At 44.3% G+C, this 25,120-nt stretch overlaps 1 protein-coding gene and 1 long non-coding RNA gene across 8 annotated transcripts in view, besides 4 other annotated features; one reads left to right on the top strand and one right to left on the bottom strand.

Moving 5' to 3' along the window:
- The window catches only part of HORMAD2 (HORMA domain containing 2), a 129,725-nt gene continuing 104,607 nt past the window's right edge, over window positions 3–25,120 (bottom strand). For all 7 annotated transcript variants that reach the window (XM_047441154.1, XM_047441155.1, XM_017028622.2 and 4 more), the window contains one exon: window positions 3–474. In XM_047441154.1, coding sequence (XP_047297110.1) covers window positions 292–474 — 183 coding nt within the window. In that variant the 3' untranslated portion in view covers window positions 3–291. The remainder of the gene's footprint in view (window positions 475–25,120) is intronic.
- Window positions 54–675: an enhancer, noted in NCBI's record as "H3K4me1 hESC enhancer chr22:30602773-30603394 (GRCh37/hg19 assembly coordinates)". NCBI's record gives its function as "activates a minimal SCP1, AML or CMV promoter by ChIP-STARR-seq in naive H9 embryonic stem cells {active_cell/tissue: H9 hESC(naive)}" and the evidence as "EXISTENCE:reporter gene assay evidence [ECO:0000049][PMID:30033119]".
- Window positions 54–1,729: a biological region, named in NCBI's record as "BRD4-independent group 4 enhancer GRCh37_chr22:30601719-30602918".
- On the top strand, window positions 265–24,641 carry LOC105372988 (uncharacterized). Its single transcript, NR_188588.1, has 3 exons — window positions 265–411; window positions 15,229–15,326; window positions 22,678–24,641. It is a non-coding gene; the product is annotated as an uncharacterized LOC105372988 (long non-coding RNA).
- Window positions 530–1,729: an enhancer, noted in NCBI's record as "BRD4-independent group 4 enhancer chr22:30601719-30602918 (GRCh37/hg19 assembly coordinates)". NCBI's record gives its function as "activates an origin of replication core promoter dependent on BRD2, P300/CBP, MED14 and CDK7 cofactors, and independent of BRD4, by STARR-seq in HCT116 cells {active_cell/tissue: HCT116}" and the evidence as "EXISTENCE:reporter gene assay evidence [ECO:0000049][PMID:35650434]".
- Window positions 10,974–11,093: an enhancer, noted in NCBI's record as "active region_18827". NCBI's record gives its function as "activates an Ori minimal core promoter by ATAC-STARR-seq in GM12878 lymphoblastoid cells {active_cell/tissue: GM12878}" and the evidence as "EXISTENCE:reporter gene assay evidence [ECO:0000049][PMID:35858748]".

Below are 25,120 nucleotides of genomic sequence, written 5' to 3'. Positions count from 1 at the left end.
GCTGTGTTTCAGGATGGCATTTGGGTAAAGAGGTCAAACACTCTTTCTTTTAAGAGCCTGGGACATTTCTTTTTCTTCTTCTTGCTTCCTAATCAGTGGTTTCTTGCCCTTCATAGGAGCCCAGGGCACGGAGTGTCTGGGCCTGGAATGCGGACATGTGTGGGAGGGATGCGAAACTGTGCTGGCAGCCCCAAGAAAAGAATCAGTCTTTGTCCTCATCTTCACATGCACCTGTCGTCCCAAACCCTTGACAAACATTGTGTCATTCACCTTCCAAACCTCTCTGCGGATTCAGCCTGGGCGGGCGGGAGCACAGTGAGCCACATTCTCTGCATTCCCGCCTCCTGACAGCTCCTGGTACCACAGCCGCTGAGCTGGGATGTCCAAACATTCCAACTGACTCATCCGTGGGTGAGCAAGGCCGACACGAGGGGACGGGTGGAGGCTGCTGGGGCTCTGTCTCTGCCGAAGTCCCTAATTCAGAGAAGAAAGTGGGGCGGGTGGGGGAATTGCCGGGATATGGGCCATTTCCCTTGAATGATGCTCGGGTGTCACTTGAGGTGCCAGGAAGTGGTGGCAGTTGCAGCACAGTGGCCCTGGTGGAAGCCTGGGCTCAGACCTCACATACCTAGATTTGAGTTCTGGCTCCATGGTCAGAATTTTGTAACTTCATCAAAACTCTCTGAGATTGGCCGGGCAGAGTGGCTCATGCCTGTAATCCCAGCACTGCAGGAGGATCACTTGAGCCCAGGAGTTTGAGACCAGCCTGGGCAACATAGTGAGACTTCATTTTTCCAAAAAGGAAAAATATTAGCTGGGGATGGTGGCATGCATTTGTAGTTCCAGTTCCTGGTAGGCTGAGGCGAGAGGATTGCTTGAGCCCAGGAGTTTGAGGCTACAGTGAGCTATGGTCGCACCACTGCACCCTAACCTGGAAAACAAAGCCAGACCCTATCTCTGAAAACAAAACAAAACAAACAAACAAAACAAAAAATAAAACAGGCCAGGCGCGGTGGCTCATGCCTGTAATCCCAGCACTTTGGGAGGCTGAGGCAGGTGGATCACGAGGTCAGGAGTTGGAGACCAGCCTGGCCAACATGGTGAAACCCCATCTCTAATACAAAATTAGCTGGGTGTGGTGGCAGGTGCCTGTAGTCCCAGCTACTCAGGAGGCTGAGGCAAGGGAATCTCTTGAACCCAGGAGGCAGAGGTTGCAGTGAGCTGAGATCGTGCCATTGCACTCCAGCCTGGGTGACAGAGCAAGACTCCATCTCAAAAAACAAAACAAAACAAAAAACTCTCTGGGTCTCGGTGTCCTCATCTGTAAATGGAGGCGGGGGGTGAGAATAATGGCTCCTGTGCAGTGTAGTGGTCAGAATGAAGCAAGAAAATGTGAATACTGAGCACGCGAGAGTTGCTTAGCAATGACTTGTGTTAGGTTGTCACCCTTCTGATGCAATGACCTGAGACTCACTTCCGGGTGGGCAGGCGAGTGTGTCATCATCCCTTGCTTCGTCCCACAGGACAAAGGCTGCAAAAGTATCTGGTGGGAATGTCCCTGCCCTGCTTTGGGATTTCGGGTAGGATTTCTCCATCAGGCTGGAGTGGGGCAGCGCTGAGCCTCCCGTGCACATTCAGTGACCTCATTCAGGGGATGAGACCAAACAGAACGGGCAGCGGCTTTTCCGGTCCTCACGCCACCCTCCAGATGGCTTATAACCAGATCCCTGCCAAATTCCTCTCCTCCCTCCCCCAAGACTCATCTGATGCCAAAGCGTTTCTCAAAAGGGGGAAATACAGTACTTTCGTCAGTACCTCATCACCTCACCGCTGGGTCACAAATGACCCCGGCTCAGCCCTGCCTTCCAGCTGTCTTCCCAAGGGGATGTCTCTGAAGATTTTTCCCCAGCTCTGTGCTGGGGCTGTTGGGGAGCTGGACGTCCGGGAATGAGAGGAGGATATGGGACACAACGTGACCTTGGGCCAGTCACCGGCCTTCTCTGGTTCTCACTTTCCCCGTCTGCGAAACGAGGTAGCTGGCTGAGGTCATCCAGGCAGCAGTTTCCGGTCCCAGGGTGTTCTGGCTCCCTGACTGCAGGGAGAGCTGGGAAGATGAGTACTTGTCCCTGCTCAGCAGGAGAGCGCTGTGGTTAGGAAGCCAGTGGCTCTGGGTTCAAATTCTCACCCGGTGCCCTTGCTGGCTCCGTGACCTTAGGTAACACACACACACCCTCTCTGACCAGTTATTCTATCTGTAAAGTGGGTGCAATCATTGCCACCTCTGGAGTTGTTTTAAGGATTAAGAGGATCCACATGCAGAACTCAGCGCAGTGTCTGACACTCGCAATATTATAATTAAATATTATAATTTCATTTCGCTCAACTGCCCGCCTCACAGAGAGAAACTGAGGCCCAGCAGCGGTTGCTGGGAAGAGGATTCAGACCACATTTCCATGTTTGAGCCGCCACCCCGGGCCGGCTCCAGGAGGAAGCTGCAATAACTCAGGGGAAAAGTCCCACGGCGTCTGCTCCAGCTCCCTCAGGCGGCTCTCAGAGCTCGTGCCAAGAGATGGCTTGGCAGCTGCTCTCCCTCCATGCCCATTAGCTTAGTTCCAGATGTTCTAGGCAGCAGCCTGGGGAGCTCTTTCAGGTTCTGTTTCTTTGGATCTACTTTCTTGTAGTTTCCCTTTCCTCTGCTTTTCCCCAACTGGCCCTGGCAGCTTTATAAATGAAAAACAACGTCTTTCCCATCACCTTCGAAATCACCCAACCACAGTTCCCTTCTCATTAGACCCCTGGAAATGCCTTGGCTAGACAGACTTCATGTAGGGACGGCCAGGACAGCCGGGACACCTTATCAAATGTGCTTCTGACCAGCAACCACATGAAAGGCCTAGAGTTTCACATTTGGATTTCATTAGTTCCCACCCCAGTGTGCCTGGGGCCCTGGAGAATGGTGGCCAGGGAGTTCTGGTGGCCCAGGGCAGCCGCCTGAAAGAGCTCTTTCCTGATCACCTACTATGTGTGGCCACTTCACCTCTGTCATCTTAGCCTTCTCAACTCCATGAAATAAGTGTTAACCACCCTTTTTGGATGAAAAACTAAGACTCAGGCTGTGAAACTTATTCATGGTCACCAAGCTACTGTGAGGACCACACTGATCCAACTCCAGGGTGCTGGCTCTTGGGTGATGGATGGATGGCAGGAACACTCCTCTGGGGCCCGTGGGTGACCTGGGGCTATGGGCCTTTGCTACCATCTGTCTGTCAAGCTGGGTGCCAGGCTGCGAGCTCCAAATGGAAACCAGACCCAGTCACTGGCCCCTCCTTGTCATGGAGGAGACAGTCAAATTAACTCTGGGAGAAGCATCAGCTCAAAAGGGCTTTGTGTATGAGAGGATGAGTGTTCACCCAAGTATAGGGCATGGGGGGTATGTAGGTGTGAGGATGTATGTGAGGATGCACATGTGTGTGTGCATGTGTGTGAAGGCACTATGACAATGTGTGCACACATATGCATGTGTGAAAATGCATGTATGTGTGTGCTTGTGTATGAGGGTAAACGTGTACATTAACCTATACGCATGGACATGTGTGAAGATGTAAGGTGCAGGTTCGTGTGTATACAGAGTGCACGTTTGTGTGTGAATGTGTGTATAAGGATGCATGCACGTGCACTTATAGCCATGCGTGAGGGAGAACATGTGTGTTTTGCGTGAGAATGTGTGCGCAGACAGGTGCATTTGAGAATGTGTGAGAAGGTGGATTGTGTGCATACTCACATATAGGAGTGTGTTTATGTATGTGGGTATGTGTGCACATGCACGTATACATGTGTGAGGATGCATGTGCCGGAAGGGTGAATGTATGTGTGCTGTTGTATGTGTACACATGTACCCATGTGTGCTTGGGTGAGGCTATGTGCACTTGTGCAGAGAAGCAGGGGAAGGATGGACAGTGGGGGCAGGAACCCCATGATCTCTTCCAGATGTTTTTCGAGACCTCCTTGGTGTTGAGTGCCAGGCATTTCCAAGCACCAATGACAGATTTTTTTTTTTTTTTTTTGAGACAGAGTCTTGCTCTGTTGTCCAGGCTGGAGTGCAATGGTACAATCTTGGCTCACTGCAACCTCTGCCTCCTGGGTTCAAGCGATTCTCATGCCTCAGCCTCCTGAGTAGCTGGGACTACAGGCATGCGCCGCCACTCCCAGCTAATTTTTGTATATTTTGTAGATACAGGGTTTCGCCATATAGGCCAGGCTGGTCACAAACTCCTGACCTCAAATGATCCACCCGCCTCGGCCTCCCAAAGTGCTGGGATTACAGGCGTAAGGCTGACAGATCTTTTAAATAGTGTATTTGTCTCCTCATATGGTCAAAAGGCAGCAAACAAGCATACAGGGGGTTCCTTTTTCTGAAAGACTGAACCTCCTCTCACCTGGAAGGTTGATCTTGGCCGTGTGCACCTCTGTAGGCCCAGCCTCCTAGGCCAGACCGTGCCCTGGGCCCAAGCTCCTTCTCCACCTCAGGGAGTGGCTCTCCCCTATCTCAGGGCAGATTAACTTCCTTGGCATCGGCTTTGTTTTGGCTCATTAAGGAGGAACAGCCGCTGAGAGTGGAGGCCTCTCCCTTCTACTCCTGGGTCTGGTTCGGCTGAAAACACTTGATTTAGAGCTTCTCGCTTTGCTTTCCTGGCTGCATGTCCCAGGCAGAAGGGGAAACACCTAGGGCCTGGGCTATTTTGTCTGCTGAGATTTGGGAGAGGAACTTGTTTTCCCAGCGAGGTGGCTCTGGCCCGAGCAGTTACTGTTTTGTTTGTTGAGCTTCGTTACTCAGGCTGGGTGGGGTAAGGCTGAGAAGGCTGTAATGGGAAGCAGGAGAGTGGAATCTGAGACTTGTGCAGATAAAACTTCTCCACTGAGGGTTGGACATGAGTGATGGTGTGAAGGAGCTGACTTTTTTTGCATGTGGCCTGCCAGGGAAAGCCCTTGTGTTCATTTCAATCTTTTTTTTTTTTTAAATCCATTCCTCCGATGTAAGCTGATAAATTAAAAAAAAAAATCCATTCCACTCAACTCCCACTCCTCACCCCAAACCCCCACTTTCATTTACATATTGCCTCTCAAAGGCCATAAAGACCATGATGCCTTAGCTAAGAAACAATTTGACCGACGTGCCAACCCAGCCTGCCTGGACCCTGTCAGGGCCTGCTAGACTGCAAGCTTCCTGAGGGCAAGGCCTGTATCTTTCATATGCCTGTTATTGCCCTAACATCTGGCCTGGTGCCTGCTGCCTGGAGCATAACAGGCCTCGTACATATTTGTTAGATGAGTGAAGGATGAGGTAAGTTACAACTGCTTTAAGTTCACTGCCCTTAGTAAATGGCCTTAATCCAAAGATCCTTTGGATCTTGAGCCAAAATTATATTGAGCCAAAATCTACTTCCCTCCAATACAGATTATGTGTACCATGAAAGCCCCATATGCATGTGAAGATGGACATTATACTCTTCCAAAAGCCTGGATCCAAGCTGAACATAGTTCCCGTAGCATTTCTCATATCACGCAGATGCAAGATCCTTCACCGTGTGGCCACCTTTATCAGGACAAATGCTTTTTTTCAATGTACATCTTGAAATATGGTTCATGAGCTGGACCACAACTTCTAGATGTAGCCTCGTCAGAGACAAACACACTAGATGTTGCGGGATTGTGTCCCCCGAAAAGGTATGTTAAAGTCTTAACTTGCCGGGCACGGTGGCTCACGCCTGTAATCCCAGCATTTTGGGAGGCCGAGGCGGGCGGATCATGAGGTCAGGAGATCGAGACCATCCTGGCTAACACAGTGAAACCCCGTCTCTACTAAAAATACAAAAATTAGCCGGGCGAGGGGGTGGGCGCCTGTAGTCCCAGCTACTCGGGAGGCTGAGGCAGGAGAATGGCGTGAACCCCGCGGGGCGGAGCCTGCAGTGAGCTGAGATCGCGCCACTGCACTCCAGCCTGGGCAACAGCGAGAATCCGTCTTGGAAAAAAAAAAAAAAAAAAAAAAGTCTTAACTCTGGGTACCTGTGAATATAACCTTATTTGGAAATCCGGTCTTTGTAGATGTAATCAAGTCAAGATGAGGTTATACTGGAGGAGAGTAGGCCCTAAGTGCAATGGCTGATAGCTGTGTAAGGAGAGAGAGATTTGGAGATACACAGACACATGGAGAAGAAACCTTTGTGAAGACAGAGGTAGAGACTGGAGTGATGGGCCTGCGTGCCAAGAATCACCAAGGATTGTCAGCAACCACTGGAAGCTAGGAGAGGCATCGAACAGATTCTCCCTCAGAGCCTCTAGAAGGAGCCAACCCAGCTGACACCTTGATTTCAGATTTCCAGCCTTCAGAACTGTAAAAGAATACATTTCTGGCCGGGCGTGGTGGCTCACGCCTATAATCCCAGCACTTTGGGAGGCCGAGGTGGGCGGATCACCTGAGGTCAGGAGTTCGAGATCAGCCTGGTCAACGTGGTGAAACCTTGTCTCTACTAAAAATACAAAAATTAGCCGGGCATGGTGGTGGGCACCTGTAGTCCCAGCTACCTGAGAGGCTGAAGCAGGAGAATCGCTTGAACCCAGGAGGCAGAGGTTGCAGTGAGCCAAGATCGAGCCACTGCACTCCAGCCTGGCTGACAGAGCCAGACTCCGTCTCAAAATAATAATAATAATAATAATAATAATAATAATACATTTCTGTTGTTTTTAAGCCACTCAGTTTGTGGTACTTTATGACAGCAGTCCTAGGGCACTAATATGTTGGACCACCACCCCCCTTGATCAATATAAAATATTATTCTTTGCAATCACATGGTTGTACCCTTAAAAAATTAAAGAAACCAGAAAGAAACTACTGAAATTAATAAAATGATTTAGAAAAATGGCTGGACACAAGATAAACACCCCAAAATCAAGGCATTCATCTTTACCAGTAAGCTATTGAGAACCATAATTCCAATATCCTATTCACAGTAGCACCCAAAGCCGTAAATCACATAGCAGTAAACCTATGTGGGATCTTGATAAAGAACACTACACAATTTTACTTAGAAATTTTAAAGGTGATTTGAATAATATAGCCATTGTTACATGGGAAAATTCAATTTAGAAATTTGTTTACTCCCAAATTAACTTGCTGATTCATTATGATTCCAATAAAAACCCCAGTGAGATTCACTGATTTTTTTTTTTTAAAAGAAAATTCATGACTGGGCATGGTGGCTGACGCCTATAATCCCAACACTTTGGGAGGCCTAGGCGGGTGGATCTCTTGGGGTCAGGAGTTTGAGACCAGCCTGGCTGACATGGTGAAACCCCATCTCTACTAAAAATATAAAAATTAGCCAGGCGTGGTAGCAGTCTCCTGTAATTCCAGCTACTCGGGAGGCTGAGGCAGGAGTATCACTTGAACCCAGGAGGCAGAGGTTGCCATGAGCTGAGGTCGTGCCACTGGACTAAAATTTTTTTGCATTTTTAGTAGAGACAGGGTTTTGCCATGTTGGCCAGGCTGGTCTCAAACTCCTGGCCTCGAGTGATCCACCCACCTCAGCCTCTCCAAGTGCTGAGATTACAGGCATAAGCCACGTGCCCGGGCCATCCTTGACTCGTCATCATCACTGATGAAGCTGTGTGTGGAAAACAATGGTGATGGGAATTCAACCTTAGACTAATTGAAAAAAAAAAAAGAAAGAAAAAAATTCATGTCTCATGAATGAGAGAAAATAACAAAATCCTGAAAGGGAAGGGTGAGATGGGGTTGGGAAAGGTCCATCCAACGAGATATTAGAACATATTAACTCAAGAGTATAAAACAGAAAAACACCATAAACAGGCAGATGCTAGTTGACGTCTGTTACCTCCTTCCAGAAGCAAGCTCAGAGTGAGGTGAGATGGCCAAGATAGGACCCAGAGAAGACAAAACAGCAAATGTTGAGAATCTGGGGCACTTAGGTGCTTACACAGACTAAAAAACTAAAGAGAATCTCCTTGTTCACCATTTATCATTAGCAGCACAGAACGTCATTTCTACCCAGAGAGATCCTGGCTTAAAACCCCATCAACCAAATTGCTTTTGGGGTGGAAAGGAAGCCCCTCCACCTTATTTCTGCAATGATATGAAAAGCTGTTCTCAGGGAGGAGAAAGAAAGGGGGAGAGGTAGGAAAGATAGCATGCTTGTGCATATCTACTGATCACGCCTGCGTTTCTTTGGCTAGTTCTGCCACTTGCTGCGTTCTCTGAGAGGGGGTTTGGTAATTACCAGGACAACTTTTTCTCAGTCCAGTCATTTGAATTTCCAGAACAAAATTAGGTTGGGGAAACCCCCTGAATTTGCAGACTCAATATTCTCTGTTTCATCAGAAGTTTGCTGAGCACCTGTGGTGTGCCAAGCTCTGTGCCAGCCCCCAAAGGTTCCTGAGGGTTCCCAATACACAGTTATTTGTGCCTTCAACAGGATGGATTTGCACCAGCCTTGTACGAAGCTGGTACACAGACCTGCTGAGGAAGGGGCCAGCCAAGCAGTCATGTGCCACTGGATGCCGCTTGGTTTTCTCTCACCTCATTACATGAGAATGACCAGATGGTTTATAAATACAATCATTTTTATTGAGTAGGAAGTAATTTAAAATGTGAATTATACCTGAGGCCATTTTAGGAAGAACTTTTTTGCCATGGTATAGTCACAGGGAAGCCAGATCCCAGATGCTGAAGTGTGGGGTGAAGCGAGGATGAGGACCAGGGAGATGAGAGAATCACCAGTGCCCAAGTGAGAGGATATTGTGCAAGGAGCTGGCAAATGTGGCTCAATTTTACAGAGCAGTGGAGGGAGAAGACTGCATTAGGGGCTGGCCTAGTTCAGTGGATGGTGACCTGGACACACATTATAATCAGCTGGAGAGCTTTAAAAAAAAAAAAGATCTGTGCTCAGATCCCAGGCCAGCCCAGTTAAATCCGAACCTCTGGGGGAGACACTCAGGCATTCAGGTATCTGTGTGTTGTGGATGAATCTCTACAGGTGACTGTAATGTGAAAGCAGCTCTGAGAACAGAGCTCCGGCCACAAGCAAGGCTGCTACTTCTTGCTTAGTTATACCTGACCTGGTGCAAATAAAATCACAATCACACACTTACATGCGTATACACATATACAAGTGTGTAAAACTCTGGTTAATGTTGCAATTTTAAACAAATAAATCTTTAGCATATTTACTGTCAGGGATCATCCTTGACTCTTCCTATTTTTTTGAGACAGAGCAAGTGTTGCCCGGGCTGGGGTGCAGTGGCTCGATCTCGGCTCACTGCAACCTTCGCCTCCCGGGTTCAAGTGATTCTCCTGCCTCAGCTTCTGGAGTAGCTGGGATTACCAGTGTGCACCACATGCCCAGCTAAATTTTTTTTTTAATATATTTTTAGTAGAGACAGATTTTACCATGTTGCCTAGGCTGGTCTTGAACTCCTGACCTCAAGTGATCCACCCACCTTGGCCTCCCAAAGTTATGGGATTACAGACCTGAGCCACCTGCCCAGCCCATCCTTGACTCTTCATCATTGTTGATGAAGCTGTGTGTGGAAGGCAATGGTGATGGGAATTCAACCTTAGACTAATCTCTAGGTCTACATGTGCAGTGGTTGACTTGATTTTTTTTTTTTAACTCATTATTGGTATCTTTTCAGATGTGTAGGAAAAAAGATTCTGGATATACAAACCAAATAAACTAGGGCTTCCTCATCTTACTGAGTTGGTGTCTCTGTCATTTCCCTAGTTGTTGTCCATAACTGGTTTCCTTTGACTAAAGTAATTGTATCTGAGATTATTCTCCCTTTGAAGATCTCTCAGCCAATCTTGTTGCTGAGGGCATCAGAAGAAGATTGAGAGGGTTATACTTGTGCCTTTTTTAAAGGGTTTGCCTACAGAGTGTGGTGTGAGATGTGGGGGAGCCCACAAGGATTTTTCTAGAAGTTTCTATCCTCAGAGATTTGCTCTAACAGAGGGTAGGGTCATGGTTCTGAATTAGGCATCCTCTTGCTCATGCTGGTTAATCTGATACATTTGGACTTCAGAGTCCTATCCTTATGCCACAAATGTGGGCTAGTCACCCACTTTTTCCTTGTGATATATCCCAAGGAAGAAAAGCATCATAAGATTTAGAGATGGGGCTTCCCTCTCTGTGATTAAAAAAAAAACCTAGGTCCAGTTCAGAATGAAGAAACTGAAAAGAGAAAATCCAACCCTTTTCACATCCAACCCCACCCTGTCCCTGGGTGGCCCTTACTTAACCCATCACCCAGCACTCCCTCTAGGGAAAAGCCTGCCCAAAAACTTTGGTCCTAAGAAAAGCCTTACCCTAATAAAGAAACTGGGAGGCTGCTGCTGGGCTGCAGCTGCTTTTATGGAAGGAGCTAGACCAGAAGCTAGACTAGGGCCAACAAGTCAGGCCTCTGTAAGAATCTTCCAAGGAGGTAAGGCGGGGAGAAAAAGGATTCCTCATTTACATTGAGAGTAAACTTCCTGTCCTATTAAACAATGAGGCATTCAAAATCCGCCTGAGTAAAAGTCCCCTGATGCAATGAGAGGGTGAGCAATTTCATGTCAGGCTGTTGTTATGGGATTTATACATGTCCTAGCTAGGGCTTGAGGTGAAAGTCAGAGCCAAAAACAATAGCCCTAAACCCCACATGCACAGAAACCTCATTCCAGTGGAGTTTCCTTAAGAGAGCACAGCAGACTTTTCACAAACAAAGTGACTTCAAAGGTAGCCTTGCATCACTGCCTCCTCCACTTGACACTTCCCTTCAGCCCAGACCTGGCCCCTCTGTTTCTTGGTTTAATTTATGAGGTTCTCACACACATTGCAAAGCAATTATCTGAGCTGCTGGCCAACAGGAAGGTAATTGTAACTGAGTACTTCCTTTGTCAAACGCTGACGCTGGCCACCGCGATGGTGATGACGCTGGCCATGGCAATGGTGATAGGAGGCGTGCCGGCAGCTCAGCACCCAGTGACAGGATACCTCTGTTTCTCCCCCACCCCCAACACAATGCTGTCTGACTGAATTCTCCAGGGAGGAGGAAGCCAGTGGGTTGGAGGAATGGGGGAATTTTCTTACATCACTTGACGTGCTTGCTTTCACTCGCAAAATCCTGAGTCATGACTGAAGCTGTATTGCCTCAAGTCTCCGGCTGAAACCAGGGGTTATAGGTTTGGAAACCTGATTCCATCGGCTGCCTCTTGTCCAATCATCAGAGGAAATGTGTATTATTTCAGTTGATCCTCTTCAAGTTGAAGTGCCTTTGGATTGAGGGGATTACGTGAGGGAAGTGGCTCTGTAGTGGCTTAGTAAGCCAATGCCATGCGAGTGAACAATATTTGACATTCGGTGAGTTTACAGAAAGGGCAGTCTCTCTGTTTGTTTAAACCAAGATTAAGTGAAAGGAAAAGTTTTTCTTTCCCATCCCAAGACAAATGTGAAACACATGTTTTCCCTTTTGACTTTGTAAGTACAAGGCTCAAACAGTTCTCCCCACCCCCTTCGGCCATGAGTTTTTAAGGATTGCAGAATGTTTCCTCTCTTTGGTGGCCAAAGCCAATGTGAGCCTTTATATTTCCAGACAGTGGAGCTGATGATGATAGCCTAGTTGGTTCCAGGTAATCATGTAGGTTGTTTCTGGGCCTACCATTTTATGGGTAGATAGGATGGTAAGATGTAGTACAAGGAATCCCAGGCCTGAGTTCACTAAGCCTCAGTTTCCTCATCTACAAAATGAGATTGGTTGAACCTTAAATATCTCAGGTAATTTCTATCTTCAGAAAGGATGTTCATTCAGGTTGGTTTTTCTGGTATGTGGGGGACATTCCTAGTTGAGGTATCCTTTGCATGGGCACAAGGCAGTGTGCAGGCCTGAGGGTTGGGAGACCTCAGTCAAAGAGCCTGCCCTGCCATTGACTCACTGTGACCTTGAACAACTCACTTCCCCTCTTTGTGAATCCTTCTTATCTGAGAGAGGAGGTTTGACAGTCTTGCCCCTGACATAGCGGTTCAGATATGAGACAAGCCTGAATGAGACTGGGATGTCAAGTACTTTGAGCTCCTTGAAATGAAAGGATCATTCATCTTGGAAGATAAATTGTTAAAAAATGCTAGCTCATAACTATTTTTTTGGATTATCTCAAAAATAAAGTAAAGAAAATCAATGTTGTTTACTCTTGGTTTTCCTTTTTTTTTTTTTTTTTTGAGACGGAGTCTCGCTCTGTCACCCAGGCTGGAGTGCAATGGCGCAATCTCAGCTCACTGCAACCTTTGCCTTCCGGGTTCAAGCAATTCTCTTGCCTCAGCCTCCTGAGTAGCTGGGACTACAGGCACGTGCCACCATGCCCGGCTAATTTTTTTGTATTTTTAGTAGTGATGGGGTTTCGCTGTGTTAGCCAGGATGGTCTCGATCTCCTGACCTCATAATCCACCCGCCTCGGCCTCCCAAAGTGCTGGGATTACAGGCGTGAGCCACTGTGCCCGGCCCACTCTTGGTTTTCTTTAAATTGCTACTGGTTCAGGGAATATAAGCACCCAATGACCAACACGGGCTATAAAAATCAGGACTTTTACCACCCTGTGTTGGCCAAAGCAATGTTCCTAGCAGATTGCTTTGATCATGTTGCTACTCTGCTCAGAAACCTTCAAGATACTACTTGCCTCCAGGATACACTCCAAACTGACAGTCAGTTCCCCGTTGTGACCTGGCTTCACCTGCATTATATATCACCTCTTCTACATGAAATCCTAGAATTCACTAGCATTGCCACAATGATATTGGATCACCCCTGCAACATCTCATAAGTGGGTGGCCATTCTCTGGGTGCAGTGATAGGGAGAAGCCTCTGATACTCAAAGTAATCTGGCCTTTTTCTAATCACCCCTCATTGTTAGATACTTCTTCCCTATATTGAATGAGAATCTGCTTCATCACAAATCCCAACCAGCCATAGGTCCCACTGAGCTACCCCAATTCAGTTTCATTCCTCTTCTTCAATTTTTGAAGACAGTTATCATGTCACCCTGGAGAAATCTCTTTTCCAGACTAAACAACTGTAATGTCTTTAACAGATTTTTCATTGACTTGGTTTTCAGACTCCTAAATGTTGTTATTGTTACCTTTCCCTAGACATGCTTCAGATGGTCAATGTCTCTTTTAAAAACGTGAACCTTTGGACTAAATGCAACGCTCTAAATGTGGACTGGTTGGTGGCGCTAGTATCTCCTTTGTTTCTGTAATAGTTAGGTTAGGTAAGAGACATGACAATACTTCAGTGGCTTAAAGAATATAGAATCTTTTTTCTCTCAAGTAACCATCTTGAGAGTTGAGTGATGATGAGTGAGATGAGTGATCCAAGCAGGCAAGGGGCTGTATTCTCTGCAGTCATTCAGTGACCAAGGCCCCTTCTGACTGGGGATCTGCTATTCCATGTGGTGTTCTGGTATAAGCTGGGTTACTACCAAGCCTCAGATGCATCCAGCAAGAAAAGGAAAGTGTGAAGGGTAGGGGGGGTTCACCCACCTCTTAAGGGCCCCAGCTGTCACAGAAGATCTTTTGTTAGCATTCCACTCATGAAAACTCAGTCCCATGGCCATGTTCAACTGCAAGGGAAGCTGGGAAATATACTACAGCCAGGTAGCCCTGTGTCAGAAGCCCTATCGCTATGGAAGGACAGGAGAATGGACATTGGCAGCCACAGTGGGGACCAGCCTCATTGGTCTTTCAGTTCCAAAAACACATCAAGTTCCTTTCAGACTCAGGGCCTATGCACTCACTGTCCTGCTTGGAGTGTTTTGTCTCTCTGACTGTCCTTCCTCTTCATATGGCCTCAGCTCAAACACCACTTCCTCAGAGAGGCCTGCCCTGACCACTTCATGAAATGCAGGTCCCTTCTGACCCTTCCCCACTTTTATTTGTGCCCCTCCAGACCCCTTTCACAAGGTTTAATGATTTTATATGTTTACTTTTTCTGGTGTTTGTTTCTGTCCTCTACTAAACTGCAGGCTGTTTGTGGGAGGGACTCTTTCTGTCTTGGTCCCCAGTGTGTATTCACTGCCCAACCTCATACCTGACACATATTGGGGGACAAAATAAGGACTTGTTGAATTAAAGAACATAGTGACATGATATGTTTACTAAATATAGCCTTCTTTTGCCAAGTGCATTACACTGTTAGGTCATATTGTGGTAAACTAAAAGGCCTCGGTCTCTTTTCACATCAACTGTGGTTAAGACATATTTCTCCATCTGCTTTTTGAGAAGTTGATTTTTTGACCCTAGATACAGTATTTTGCATTTATAACTATTGTATTTCAGCTGCTTTTTTCGGTCTATCATTTTAGCCCCAAAAGATCTTTTTTGATATATCAATGAATACATTTATTTATCTCTTCCAGTTTCATATTATCTGGAACTCTGATAAGGTATCCTGTGTGCCTGTATGTTTCCTTATGTCATTGGCAAACAATAATGAAGATGGAAAAATGAAATGGGCCAAACATCAAGCCCTGTTATAGTACGGAAACCATCCTCTATCCTGCCATTGATCCATCACCTCTGGGGATGAATGTTGACTTACACAGACCACAGCCCTACCAAGAATATCACAGAGCCTATGTCAGATACCTTGCTGCAAGGAGTGGCATAATGGAACTCAACACAGTTGAGTTCTACTCTTACACAGAACAATAAAACTTTACATTAGAAAAAGACCAAATTCCAGCCAATCACAAGAATCCCTTGGACAACATCCTGTAGTTTACCAGTCTAGTAACCTTATAAAAAACAGGAAGTGACTAGTTCTTAGTGCACCCATGCTTGACTCTTAGCAATTATTGTTTTCGCATAAGTGTTTGCAAACCCTTAATTCAAAATTTGTTCTGAAACTTTTCCAGGATTTCCTTTCTGGAAATCCTGCCACACTGGTCCATTTTCTATCACCAAACCCCCTTCAATCCTCACACCTCTGAGCAGTCACTCCTCTGTTCCTCTTAGTAGGAGATGCTCTTCCTGTCTGACTCTATGTATACAAACCCTGACCTCCCCTCAAGATCCAGCTCAAAATTCACTCCCTCCTTGAAACTTTCCCTCACCATGCTAGACCTCTCTCTCTGCTCTGAGGTATACGTTAAACTGTTGGTATTTGTTAACCCTATTCCTCTTCAGGGCTTATTGCTGCTGCATCAGATGGGCTGCCTGAACAGTTCAGGACTTCCTTTCATCGGACCCAGCCAGTGCCTTGCACAGAACCCATTCCCAAGAAGGTATGTACATTGAGTTGACCACTGACAATCAGCATCAACTTATGCTCAGGGCCTAGCCCCTCATTCAAACTTTGGCCAATTCTGTGCTCAAGGGCTAGATGATGTGGTCTTCTAGTGTGTTTGGAAATAACAAAATTTTTTGGTTGTTGCTTTAAGTAAAAAATTATAAAGTCCCAAAGAAGCTGCAGAATTATTGGATTTTTTTTTTACATGATGGGAAACCAATCTGCTTAATATAAAATTCTGGAAAATCAAGGTGGGTATGGACAGATGATTAATCTACACCACAACATTTATACATCTTGAATGTTCCGGCAGCAAAGGAGACAAATCAAAATTCAGAGCTACAAGCAAAATATTTTTGGAAGTGTTTACTCGCCTTTCAGATGCATATTTAGATTTACAAAAGATTTCCAGTAGGGCTTCTTTAACTACTTGTGTAGATTTAAAACAATTTAGTTTCTATGTAACTTTGGAAGAATAAGTCAATGTAATAACGTGAAGTCCACCTGCACTGAAGTTCCCTTGGTAGCATCAGTATCTGGCAGAGCTACCAATGCCACATCATACCATATTGAGAGGAAAAAGTTAGCTCTATTAGATCATTGACTCTAATTCCTCCCAACTGCAAATAAAAACTTTGTACCCTGAAGGGGAGGGGACTGAGAAAGGAATGAGTCTCCCACTGCTGGAGTCCCCCACCTGCCACAGCACTCATAGAAGGAGCCCCCCTCCTCTTCCCATCCTCCCAAGCCAGCCACCTCCTTCAGAAAGTTTCAGAGAGAAACTTTCTTTCCTATCAAAAAATGCTGATGACTCTATTTGCAAAATGTCTCATTATAAAAACCTTCTCTGCTGCTTGCTTTCTGAGCTTTAATAAATCCTGGATTAGTATGAAAACCACCCAGGCACTGACTCTCCACATTTCCCGACGAGCTGTCTGGAGTTGGCTTCTTCTTCATGAGTAACTTCTCCAAACTTTTGGAAAATTGCCCAATGCCAGGAACTTAGGACCACCAGATCAACTTCTCAGAGCAGGGAAAGAAAAATCACCATAATGTCAGTCCTGAAAGCTGGCACTGGCCTCTCCTCCCTTGTTTCTCTCTCTTTCCTTGCTGGCCTTTCTTGCTCATAGCAATTCATGCATGTTCCCCCCACTTTTTTGACTAAAAATAGAATCTGGGTTCCCAGCTATCACCTTAAATGTACAACATGTGGGTTTTCAGTTGGCTATTAGCTTTGCTCTTTCTTGTAACTCCTCCACGATAGGACATTCAGAGCTCAGGAGGAAGCCTCTTTTCTAGTTATTTCCATTCAGTGCTTCACTCTCTTTAAATGTGTCCATCCAGATTTCTAGGAAATTGCAGTGCTACAGCTGTTCTCTCAAAAGGGCCACATTAAAGTTTCCAATCTCAACACTTTTGCTGGCTTGCATTTCATGTGAGCTCAGGGCCACTTTCACAGTTTCCAAAGTGTCTTTCTAGCCTCCACCTTTCCTTCCCTCATTTCCTTCTGCTTTTCTTTCCCTCTTGGGTGAGCCTCCATGAGAAGAGTGCTTCAACCTTACTGGAGCATGCTGCCCCTGTCACCCCCTTAGCAGGGGTTTGGCCGAGAGGCATAAACAGGTGCCAATGGGGACTTCATAGTGCCATCGAAAGTTACACCAGTAACTGCAAGAGATAACCGTGCTAGGGATAGTGGCTGAAGCTATAAGATGAAAGTAGTCGGGGGAATTCAATGCCCAGAAGACACATTCAGAAGCCAGCTGACTTGTAAACATGTCTTACCATCTGCAAGATGGTAAATGAAATGTACTTGAACTGCAGAGAAAATTTTGTGGTCTGGAGGCTGCTGCAGTAATCCAGGCAGGAGAAGATGTTGCCCTGAAATTACTTTAGTAGAGAAAGAGAGGGTTGAGGGGCGAGAAGGAATTCAGGTGATATGTATATAGCATTCCAAATTATTTCACTTGGTCCTCACTTGTAAAGAATGATTATCCCCATTTCACAGGTGAATCTCAGGGGGTGCTGAATTGCTCACCCAAGCCCACATGGCTAATAAGTGGTCCTGAGAGGACTGGGGTATTAGAATAGTATACCATTGCCAGCTAGTAGTCTCTTAGCACAAATTGGACCCCTAGTAGGACTTAGAGAGAGGAGACGTAGGGCAAGTGAGTTTAATTGTGGGAGAAAAGGTTCAAGCTCAAGTCATGAGTGGTTTTCCAAGACAGCAGGCCTGGGTGGGGTGTGGCCTCAGGGAGTCCTGGGAGATGGGAGGCATGGTGTGAGAGCACAGGAACAGCAGGCAGCAGGGTGTCAGGAGAGGAGCCCTGAAGACTCCTCTTTGGGTAGGGGGACACCAAAACCAAACGTTCACAGCTTAAGCTAACTGATCAGTATGTCTTGGAGAAAGACAGCTTTTGACTGAAATATAAGACACTATAGCTGAGCTGGGCAAGGAATGAAGGAGGAAGACTCAGGGCAAGGAGGGAGCAAGGCCATGGTACACGTGCCATGTACGTGGTACAGGTGCACTCAGATCAGGTCCTCCATAAACTGTGAGATATGGGGCAGCCAACACAGGCTATGTACAATAGTCACTACCCACCCATCCCCCACCCCCAGGAGATAATGGTGAAACTTCAATGCAATTATACGCATCAGAAACCCTTTGTAAGTCCTCTGTAAGTGGTGAGCTCTAATATAACATATTAGGGTGAGTTGTAGTTACTACCTACTAAAGCCTTCTCTGGAGAAAGATTGCTAGTCTGCTCCTAGGTACTCACTGGTCCCCAGATCCTTCCTTGAAGGAGTCTCTTTGGAATCTGGATGAAGTGGTAACCTTCAACAGCTAATAGGCTGTTGGTTGGAAGGGCTTATTAGTTTCCTGTCCCAATGCCTTGTCATTCCCCCAAGACTAGAAGCGAAGACTCAGACAGAAAGAATTAGAACTAGTTTTCAAAACACTGGAAACAGAAAGAGATTTGACCTTAGTTTTCGGGTTAATGAAAAAAACTTTTTTTTTTTTTTTGAGGCAGGCTCTTGCTGTGTCACTCAGGCATGATCACAGCTCACTGAAGCCTTGACCTCCTGGACTCAAGTGATCCTCCCACATCAGCCTCCTGAGTAGCTGTGACTACAGGCTAATTTTTGTACTTTTTGTAGAGATAGGGTTTCACCATGTTGCCCAGGCTGGTCTTGAACTTCTAGGCTCAAGCAATCTGCCCTCTTTGGCCTCCCAAAGTGCTGGGATTACAGGCATGAGCCACCGCACCCGGCCCAAATTTCATTTTTAAAATTTCGAACAGCAGCTGCCTGCAATGGTTACAAGGGGACCTAAGACTAGTGACTGTAGGAAGTGGGGAAAAAGGTATTTTAAAGGAAAAAATAAGGAGGTGGGGTGAGTTTAGGGGCTCAAGTTAGTGAGTTTTGGTTTCCAAAAGAAGCCAACTTTGACTTAGCAATTAAGATACACCTGATTTTCTGGTAGCACAATTCAAGTTAGAACATTGGATAAGAAGTTTGAAAGAACAACTCAGTTGCATGAAAACTTCAGAAGATACTTATTGTGGAAATTTATGTACATACAAAAGTAATTCCCAGAGAGGGCCCTTTGAAAAAGTTGGCCCTTGGCCCTCCTCTTCACTTCCTCACCTGAAAATGGGTAAACAGCTCAGGGAAAGAGTGAGAATCAATGCAGCCATATTTCTGATGATTCAATGATTTTTTTTTTTCTCCAGAGATGGGGATTATTCTTTGACTTTCCCTTTTGAATACTGTTTTCTGTTTTTGTCTCTTTAATTAGAGACAGAAATTCAATTAACAAGGAGGAAAAAGAGAGAGTCTTTTCAAGCCAATTTCCTTGTGCTCCCAAGAGTTTTTGAGGTTAGGTCAGCACATATCTATGCTGTTTACCTCTTTGGCTGTTGACAGGATGGCATGTGACTTGGCCAAAAGCTGTAGCTGGCCATAGCAATGACCACTACTGTCTTGGCTTCAGAGATGCTTATTGTCTTGGCATATAACAACAGTTTTGTTTACCAGAAAAATGTTTTTTTTAAAAAAGATATATTATTATATTTATTATATTTTTGCAACACCTATCAAAGAAAGAGAAAGCAGCCATGCCAAGGTACAATTAGAGGTCACTGTGCTGTATCAAGCACTTTGGGTTTCCTGTTGACTAGCCTACATTCCTCTTTGCATTAAGACTCACAGCGGCTCCCCCACACCACCCCCACTGCCCCTGCTACCTTGCCCCTAAGAAAACTGAACTTTATAAAGTGAACGTAAATGAAATGCTTTGAAGGAAAAAGTCACAGTATGTCTCTAGGCTGAAACACTTTTTTCAGGTTGCTTAAAAGAAATTATATTTGGCCCATTTTCAGGGCAGCTCTTTGGCTTGGGGAAAAAATGCATCTGCTAAATCAGCAGTCCTCTACCCCACTCCATTCCACCAATCATAAGTGCTTCCAAACTTAGCTGGGCCAGTACTTAACACAGTAGACTAAGAAAATGATCTGAATGTTCAATCAAATCAGTATCTTCTATGAGAGAATATTCACAAAGCATAGTTAATTGAAAAAAACGGAAAAAAATACACACACACACACACACACACACACACACACAAAGGAAATATACTAAAGTAAGGAGTGGGACTATGGGTAATTTTTTTCTTCTTTGTGCTTTTCTTATTTTGCCATAAGCAGATATTATACTCATAGCAAAGCATGGTGGTTAAAAGCACAGACTTTGGAGTCAGACTGCCTGGTTCAAATCCTACCTTTACCACTTCCTGTGGTGACATTAAGCAAATTACTTAATTTCTCTGTGCCTCAGTTTCCATATCTGTAAAATGGGGATAAGGATTGTACCTATCTCAAAGGGTTGTTATGGGAATTAAAGAGTTAATATGTATGACATGGTTAGAACACATCTAGCATACAGTAAACCCTAAGTGTTAAATGAAGAAAGCATTAATTTTTCATTTAGTCAAAGTATGGTTAATTTTCTCTAGAATGCTACTTGCCATTCTACGACATTCACATTTTATTATATGTGTTGCTGAATAGAGGGCACATACATCCCAAAGCCAATGTTTGTCCTCAACTAACGTAGTTAGAGTGGATGCTTGACATTTGGTGGGTGTCGAAAATTCTTACTTCCCAGAGGCCATGACAAAATGCAGGGATTTCCCAAAGATATACGATGACCCCCCCACCCCCAACCCCTTCTTTGGTCGTAGATGAATTATGGCAAGCCTTATTGTCTCCTAAACCACAGGTTATACTATCGCAATTTGATTAATGACGTTCACAGAACTGAAAGGATCCTTGACCTTTGGTAAATTATGCCCCCCTTGCCCAAGAGTTGATAGCCTTGGGTAAACCTATGTTCAGTGATACGTGCTCCACTTCCTCACGTAGGCCTGGGAGGTGCAGAGGGAAATGAGAACCAACTTTGTGGCAGACAGTCAAATAATTGTGAAATTGTTAATGGCTGATAGGAAAAGATGGAGGAGGTAATGATGAGGCAGAATTAGTTCTGAAAGATATTTTCCCATCAGTAAGAGGGTCTTCACACAAAAGCAAACCCACAGTTTAAAAAAACTCTAATATTGTGGAAAGTGAGAAACAAACACTTTATGTTGTCTTGCAGAATAAAAAACTGAATGATTGAGCTATTTTTTCATTTTGTAATGAAAAATGTTATGTTGATGAGGTGTAGCCCAAAAGCTGGCAGAAATAAGTAAACAGAAAAAAAAAAAAAAAAGGACAGAAGGAGGGAGGGAGGAGGGGTCTCCTATCCAGAGGAGAGAAAACAAGATGGCACTGAAAATCATATAAAATCACCACTGATGCTGTTTCCTTTCAGCCAATGGAAAAATATTCTAGAAAAAGGAAACTCCAAATCTCTTGTTTACCCAGCTGTCTGTACAAAGTGAATTATTCATGATTAAATGTGAATAATAAACCTATGCAAATATTTGTTGTATTCTTAATTTTGAGGAGGTTGGGGGAGCAGCAGGAAGTCATTTTAAAGTGATTTAGTTAACTATCACCTTTAAAATTAAATCAAGAAAGAAAAAGATTTTTGATTGTTATTTATATATGCCTCCCCCCCCAAGAAAAACACACAAGGTTGTTTTTTTCTTAGGAGGCTTATGTCCTATTGGAAATGACAATTTAAAGCTTTTCTCTTAGTATTATGACCTTTATATAATTTCCTTAGAAACTAATAGTGAAAGCTCTTTTTATTTTTTTTTTTTTAATTTTACTGGCTTTAGAGGGCTGAAAAGCTTACAGCAGAGGTTCTTCTATAAAGGGAAACCTTAACTGACAAGTTTCCAGGTACCTGCTGCTTACTGTAAACTCTTACCTATAAATTTCAGTTATAGGTTTTTGATAAAGGGAATATTACAATAATACTGATACCTGGCAGTTTTTAGCTGTTTATCTTTTTGGTTGCAGAATTGGTTTAACAGTTTCCACCAGAACTGTTAGACTAATGACTTTTAGCTAGAACTATGTTAGAGTTTATTTAGCTTATCCATTTTAAGAAGCACTTGAAATCTAAACAATAGTAAGTTATTGAAAGGTGGTTTATCGTCTTGTAAACTCTGTAACTTTTCTACCTCTCTACACATTGTATCATCACCATAATCTCTTAAACAGTTCATAGCATGCAAATGATTGCTTTATATACTATAATCATAAATGAGTTTCATTAATAAAAACAGCTTCCCTGTGGGCCTCATTTTGAAGGCTGAGTTGTTTCTGACTAATGCCCAAGTTTCAGTTAAGCATAAACTAGGTTCCGACGAAGCTCGCTTTTGCTCGACAGTAACCCAAATGCCTGGAGGAGGGGCCAGAGAACTGGTCCAGGCTCTCCTGGTTCCTGGGATCAGGATCTCTCTAGAACCACTGATGATGAATGGGCTGGTCCCTCAAGGGAACCCTCCATTCCTCCTCCAAACTATCCCAGAGCCCAGGCAGAGGGATCACAGGTACTGTGCCAGATTTAGAGTAGACTGTCATAACCCACTGCTTCTATCTCCTGGTTGTTAAAAACCCTAGGTGGAAAGACAGGTTCACTATCCACATTTTGCAACTAAAGAAACAGTGGAATAGAGAACTAAGAGACTTGTCCAGAAATAAAGGGAGAACCAAGATTAAGATTACAATCCAGACTTTGACTGTAATGAATATTCCATGTTACCCTGCCTTGCACCACTGTCCCATATCTACCTAGAAACCAATGAATTGGTGGTTTGCCAGTTGCCAGCACAATCCCTAGCACCACACTTAACCTGCTGTTATCTTTTTCTTCTGCTATTATCATTTCTGTAGATTTGCAGTGTGAAAATGGACCATACTGTGGAATAAGAGAGCAGAAAGTCATCTAATCTACTCCCCAGGCTTTAGGCAGCACGGTGTCAAAACCAACCTAGATTTCCAGAATAGATCGTTCTACCACCTCCTCTGGAATTTGAATGCCATCGAATGCAACCTGAGTCTATTTTCTTTTATTCTATGTTGACTGAGGACAACTATTTTCTTGTTTAAAAAAAAACCAAAACATTAAAATAGCATTTTAAGGTTAATTGACAATGTTAATAAGTGGCAAACTTAGGCCTCAAATAGAAGATGATAAGTAACTTGAAATGTTTGGAAAAAGATGATCTATATTTAATAAAACTCCATCAGTGAGTGAAAAGTTTCATTATTAGCATTTTCACTGTTCTGTCTCTCATAGTCTACAGTTATATTAGCAAACTTGCATTTCACTTTATGGAAACTTGTCTCCATTATGATTTAGTTCAATGGTTTCCTTCTCATACTATTTCAGCTAGAGAGTCATTTCATTATGCTGGGAAGTTTCTGAACATGTAATGTAATTAATTCCTTTAATAGACTCCTCTTTATGGAAGACCCATTAGTAGACATCACTGTGAATTAACATCTTAGTCCAGGAAAAAAGCTCTTTGGAGGCAACAGTGAAACAGCTAAATCTTTGTTGAGAGATGCGACCAGAGGATTTAACCGCATTCCTTGTGGTTTCAGAATGACATGCATATTCTGGGACCCACAGATAGGGAGAGATACTTGTCATTCTCAGTAATGCCCTGACCACACCAATTCTTTAACATACAGAGATAGTTCTAAATGTTATAATTTCTTAGAAGAAAACATCATGGGGTTGTGCACATTGAAGGCAGGGGAATGAAGTGAAAATCTGCCCACTGGCTAATGCCTATGAAGTAAGGCTACTGGCTTTCTTTTAACTGACAAGTTAAAAGTACACTTGAAGGCTTCTGGACAACTTCCTTCTATATCAACCTACTAAGGATTGGTCTTCCCTCTGAATCTCGATGAATAGCAATGAACTCTTTCTGTGTGGGTCTGAATATTTTCTTATATTATTTTTACATATGATCACTGGAAGCCGATTGTTCTGAGTTCAAAATTCTGACTTTGCTATGTACTAACTGTGTGACCTTCATCAAGTGATTTAACTTCTCTGTATCTTAGATATCTTATCAGAAATTGAGATAAAAGCAGTACCTGCTTCAGTTGGTGAAGAGGATTAAATGAATGAGCACATGTAGGTGCTTAATGGAGTGTCTGGCCTGGAGTAAGTGCCACTGATGTTGACTGGTATTGTGATTAACTCTGCTGAGTGGAGGTCCCACCACGGGCATGCAGGCCTGTAACACGAAAGCTGAAAAACTCTGACAAAGCAGAGGAGTTGGTGCCTGGGCCTGGGGAGGGTGGGCTGGCGGCAAAGGGACACAAGGGAACTTCTGGGGTGACAGAAATACTCTATATAGTGGTTACCCCAGTGTAAGTTAAAAAACATTCAAACAATTGTTTCCCTGATTATCCCATTTAATATACTAGTCCAGGCTCTAATCGCCTTACATCTGTATTAATGCAATAGTCTCCTGGTTGATTTTTCTGTCCCTGAGCTCTTTCTTTTTTAATTCCTCCTTGGCGTACCCATGCTCACTCCCATTTCTGGGGCTACTTCAATAATCATGCCTAGAACAGTATATGAGCCATTTGTTTAAAAGGGAGGGAAAGAAATAAATGTGCGTAAGCAAGTATGTTTGCTTGTTTATGCCTAAAATAGCTCTGGAAAGACATATGAGAAAGCGTTTATGTTAGTTCCCTATGGGGAAGGAAACTGGATGGCTGAGGGACTGGGTGGGAGGGAGGTTTTTCTTTATATATCCTTTTGTTCCTTTTGAATTTTAAATCATGTGAATGTATTACCTGATCAAAAATAAATAAATAAAAATAATAAAACCCTACCGAGTTAATCTATTCATTCAACACATATTTTATTTTTGTTTATTTGTTTATTTTTTAAAGATGGAATCTTGCTGTGTTACCCAGGCTGGTCTCAAACTCTTGGGCTCAAGCAATCCTCCCGCCTCAGCCTCCTGAGTAGCTGGGACAACAGACACACACCACTGCACCCAGCTCATTCAACAAATATTTACTGGTTATCTATCACTTGTCAGGCACATAGCAGGGTTAGGGTGTCCACAGCCATGATTGTGTTTCATTGGCAGATCCTTCATAAACTGCACGTCACCAGCCCTGTCGCTTGTTTAGCTTTAAAGCTTGCTTTTAGGAGATAGAAAGTCCACTGGTTAATCACAGTGGCCATGGCTGGCATCTGATTTAGGAAAAAACAAGGTCAGGGTCAATTATGCTACAAAGGACCTCCCTCCACATACTGAAAAGACGTAAAAAGCTGTAGAAGTGGCAAGGGTATCAGATGATA

Source organism: Homo sapiens, chromosome 22, assembly GCF_000001405.40.
Source record: "Homo sapiens chromosome 22, GRCh38.p14 Primary Assembly".
NCBI classification, from domain to species: Eukaryota; Metazoa; Chordata; class Mammalia; order Primates; family Hominidae; genus Homo; species Homo sapiens.
The sequence above is the reverse complement of the archived record's forward strand: the minus strand, read 5'-3'. Positions and strand labels throughout refer to the sequence as shown.